The following is a 5,449-nucleotide window of genomic DNA, read 5'->3' as shown; positions in this document are numbered from 1 at the left end:
CCTTTCCAGGCTTCTCAGCAGCTCACTGCCCCTAGGGAGAAATGACTCTGAGAGCATGGGAGGAAGCAGAAGGGGAGAGCATATCAGATTTACTCTGGCTTCTGCGGAGAGCTAAGCAGCTGGAAGGTGGAGCGGACAGGAGCCCCAGGAAAGGGATTACGCTGGGAAAGCTGATCCCTGGAGACACCTGTTCCTCTGTCTGCATCTCCTCTATCTACGTCAAGTTGCTTCTCGAATATCCCTCACGGAACATGTCAGAACGCCTTCCAGTCTGCCCGTCCAGTGCTCCATGTTCTACCTGCGACAGGTCACATAACTCACCTGAATGTGGTCTTAGGCATCGACAGCTTAACGTGATGGCCCAACAAGGGGTCATTTAATCTGGGCCTTCTGGAAACACAATATCCTAACCTAGAGTTTCTTGATTTGGACTTCAGGAATTTATAAATTCCCTGAAATTATGGGCAAAATTGCCTATACATATGAATATATATGTTGTTCTAAAGAAAGAGTTCACTGTTTTCATCTGATTCTTGTAAGGTTCTATCTCTCAAAAATGTTAAGAAATATATATATATGTTTATATATATGTTAATTTCTTTACATTTTTGAGAGATAGAACCTTACAAGAATATATATTCTATATATAGAATATATAGAATATATATATGTATATATTCCCTGACCAAATGGGCCAGGGACGGGGTAGTAGGGGCTAAGGTCAGTGGGAGATTTATATATATATATGTGTGTAAATCTCCAAAAGAGTGACTCCAAAGAGGAATTTTCCAACACACTGACCTCTGACCAGAAAATTGTGGGAGAGGTGAGGGACAAGCAGGTCCTTTTGCTGTTCCTTATTAATAATAGCAGCTAACGTGCGTGAGAGGCTTCCCAGGTGCCAGAAATTGTTCTAAGCACACTTTGTTTATAAACATGTTTAATTATCTTAGTAGCCCTACAAAGAGTTACTATTACTAACCCCATTTTACAGATGATGAAACCGAGGCACCAAGAGTCACAGCAAGTAGGAAGCAAGACTGGCTTTGAAACCAGCAGCCTGGCTGTGGAGTCTGTGCTCTCAATTATAGTGCCACTCATGGCTGTCTGGCTACCTGCTGCACAATTGGAGGCTCCTCCTGGTGGCTCCTCTTTACCCAGGCAACATTGAACATTTGCCTCAAGCTGCAAAACTGAACTCTACATACTCACTGTGCCAAGAGAGATAATGATTTTGGCAAATTTTTTCTCAGAAACTATACACTTGAGATGATCTATTATAAGCAAGTGCTTTGTAAGCTGCGCAATGCTATGTAATGTGAATTAGGCTGACAACCATGGTCTAGGTTTTGTCTAATAAAGTATAATTTTTAAAACCATTCCAAGTACTATGGGATATTTTCTACTTGAACCAAACTGCTTTCTGCTGTATTCGCTGTTGACCACATTTTACACTTGCCAGCCACTCCTCACAAAGTTAATTTAAATGCTTGAAATCTGACATCCTTGTTTAGAAGTACTGGGAACATAAAACTTCCACAACTGGAACATCTGGCCTCACAGCAGCACAGATGTGTGTGCCACACATTTAATGGATTTTGTGTTTTTTCCCAGTGCTCTGCACCCAGTGTGTGCTCAAATATTTTGTCAGTGCCAATGGTGACATTTTAAAAGGTTGCAGTTTTCCTAATGCTGTTTTACTTAGTTTCAAATTTCAAAATTTCTAATATGATCCAATAAGATACCACTCAACAGTAATTATTGAAATAAAAATCCTATGCCTCTGGTTGAAATTTTTTTCCACAGATCTCAAAACTTTATAGACAGAAAAAGTACAGCTTCCATTCAATTTGATGTATCTTATTTTCCAGAGTTAAAAACAAAACAAATCAGGGTACAAAAAAGATCAGAGTATGAGAACAAAATTGAATTAGTCCTGCTTCTCACCTCAGAATTAAATCTATTTTAGGATGGCTTTCAGCAGACTTCTTACTCATAAGTTCATTCATTCATTCATTCAACAAATATTTACTGAGCACTTGCTATGTGCCAGGCACCATTATATACTCCTGGGCTGCATCCATAAACAAAACAGGTAGATTTGAAACCTTGCAGAGCTTCTATACTAATGATGGGGTCAGTTAAAAACAAAATAAGTCAGTGAGTTAGATAGCAGGTTACAAAGTAATAAGTGCTCTGAATAAAATAGAGCAGGATAAGAGGGTCAAGATAACTAGGAGGTTGGGGGGTGGTTACAGTTTTAAATAGCGTAGTCAGAGTGAACTTAATCGAGAAGGTGAGACTGAGCAAAACACATGCCCCTGGTAAAGGAGTGTGTCACATGCATATCTAGAAGAGTGATGCAGGCATAAACACTAAGGTTAGTGTGCTTGCTGCCTTCAAGAAACAGCAAGACCAAATGGGCCAGGGAAGGGGTAGTAGGGGCTAAGTTCAGAGGGTGGGAGTGGGTGGGAGAGGGCCTGATGGTGTAGGGCATTGTTGGCCATTATAAAGGATTTCGCTTTCCTCTGTGTGAAATGGGAAGCCACTGGCAGACTGAAGCAGACCAGAGGCAGGATCTGGCTTTATATTAAAAGCATCTCCCTCTGGCTGCTATGTTAAGACCAGATTATATATGTATGTGTAGGAGTTGGGTGGAGAATCAGGAACAGAAGCAGAAAGATCAATGAGGATGCTATTGAACTTACCCAGGCAAGAGAGAATAATGTCTGAACTAGGGAGGTAATGGCAGAGATGGTGAGAAGTGGCCTGATTGTAGAAATATTTTGGTAGTAGAGCCTATGGAATATTCTGATGAATTGGATATGGGATACAAAAGAAAGTGAAGACTCCAAGATGACTCCGAGGTTTTTGGCCTGAGTATTTTATTATCAAAAACAACCAATGGCTCACGCCTGTAATCCCAGCACTTTGGGAGGCCGTGGCAGGCAGATCACCTGAGGTCGGGAGTTTGAGACCAGCCTGACCAACGTGGAGAAACCCCATCTCTACTAAAAATACAAAATTAGCCAGGCGTGGTGGCGTATGCCTGTAATCCCAGATACTCGGGAAGCTGAGGCAGGAGAATCACTTGAATCTGGGAGGCAGAAGTTGCTGTGAGCCAAGATCGTGCCATTGCACTCCAGCCTGGGCAACAAGAGTGAAACTCTGTCTCAAAAAAAAAAAAAAAAAAACGAAAAAAAAGACAACCAATTCCTCTGTTCTTTCCATGAAGAAGCAAAGAAAGCAGTGGCAGGCAGGGATTGACGTGGCTTGTAGTGGCAGCTATGGGCTGTCCAATGACCAAGGGATCATAGGCAAGGAGGTCCTCTTCTGCCTACATCTCCACCCCAGGGAAGGTACCAGAGATCTTTATTCCCTCTGCCCCTCCTCCCCTTCCTGCAGACCTAGGTCACCTTAGACCTAAAGGGCATCTTACTATCTAGATTCAGTATTTCTTTTCTTTTGTGGTGGCATTTGTCCTAATCTTTATTCTTCAAGCTTCTGGGAGCACTTGGAGTCCTGATTTTGCAGAGTGATGAACAAATGTACCATTCACAGTTTCAGACATGCTGATTCTATTCCCCTTTAACTTTCAACTGTCTAGACAGAATGGGTTAAAACACAAATTTCATGAATTAAGGGAATATCATAGATTTTTCTGAACATATCTATAAAACTGGTTGGTGGGTGACATATTAGTTACAATCTAACCCAGGCCCAGAAGTTCATATTTGTTCTTTTTACAAAAGGCACCTCATTAAATCACTGTCTAGTCCATAACTGGCTTTATTGGGACATAAATTCATTTCACTAAACCAATAAATGTTAATTCTTCACCCTGGAGATTCTAGTCAGTCTGGTTTTATCCTGCTCAAGCTCCTGAGGCTGCCATCAATTACTCATGTTTGGGTTTATATGTCATTATGGAATCACTTTAGCTAGAACTAATGGGAAGTGAAAGGGCAATAAAGCTAAGCCTCATTCCAAAGAGAATATACAGAAGGGGGCATTCACCTGAACCCCATTATTCTTTTCTATAAATTAAAATATCCTGGCATTCTGCAGCAGCAATCCATTATATTTAGATTCTCTGCAAAAGCCAGGGCAGGCGAGTGGTGGACACTAATGAAGGCAGCTGGAAGGTCTGGGGAGGCAACAAGCTCAGACTCAGAAGGTTTAGGTTTGAGACCTGCTTTGCAATAACTAAGTGTGACTTTCAGCCAATTGCTTAATGTCACAGAAACTCAAGCCTCATGTGCAAATTGAGCACTGCAATACCAGTTTCACAAACTAGGGAAGAAATACATGAGACAGTGGCGGGTAGAGGTGGAAGAGCAGGGCCACCTGGCTCAGAGGAGGTTTTCTCTTCCCCTGCCCCCTCCATTAACCTAGCGGCTGGGGCAAATTGCTTGTTCCAGCAGCCTTCCATTGCGGTCTTAAACAAGAGATTTAACCTCTTTGAGCTTCAACTTTCCTATTTGAAAAATGGAGCTGATCATATCTATCCTCCATTTTACCCTAGAAAAGTACACTGATACCGATCATCTCGGTAAAGCTCTTAGCACCTGACTGGAAGAGGGGGCCAATTTTAGAAGACTGTAATACCACTGATGCAGGATTCCATTTTTAAAAACAAAGGCATTATCTCTTCAACCAAATGTTCTTTCCTATGATGAAAGGTTTCTCTTTAAAGCCGTCAGCTCTTTTTTTCCCTCAGATAGAAAATGGCTTCCTCTCTCAGAACCATATATAACTTCAGAAGCAAGGGGGAGAAAAGCAGAGTTGGCAAAAAGTAGAGGTGAATTGAATGCCTGTACATCCCATTCAGGGTAAACTGCCCTTGGTATAAAACAGTCAGTAACATTTTACAAGGAAAAAGTGCGGATAAATGACTGCAGTCCCAGGACAGTGCTCCTGATGGCTTTTTATAAACCATGCACGCTGCCTGGATGCCTCTGTGCCTGCTCCTCCTGCTCCAGAGAGAGTGCGTGAGCAGGGCTTCAAGCCAGCGTACCAACCGCACCATCAGGCTCCAGCCCCAGACCTTGCTCCATCTGCAGGCCAGAGAGCCTCATCTTAGCGCCAGTCCTAGAGCCAGACTTAGACCTGGAGTGGTGCAGACAGCCTTTGTGCCAGGTCTCAAGCCGGGTGCTGAACAAAGCAGGGACAGCAGAGTAAAATGGGACCCGCATGGGCTTGGAGTCATACTGAGAATCCAGTTCTGCCATTTACGAGCAGTATGACCTTAAGCCATTTTTTCCTTCTGTAAAATGGAGATTTACAAAACCTACCATATCAGTTAAGAGGATAAAATGCTATGACATTATGAATGCACTTAACATGTAGTAGATATTCAACCTATTTTTATCTTTTCACCAGTTACTGAAGTTAGCTCATCTAGTCCTCACTAGAATGCCACCAAGTATATTTGTCCATTTCCATACTT

This window comes from Homo sapiens, chromosome 13, assembly GCF_000001405.40.
Source record: "Homo sapiens chromosome 13, GRCh38.p14 Primary Assembly".
Lineage (NCBI taxonomy): Eukaryota > Metazoa > Chordata > Mammalia > Primates > Hominidae > Homo > Homo sapiens.
The sequence above is the reverse complement of the archived record's forward strand: the minus strand, read 5'-3'. Positions refer to the sequence as shown.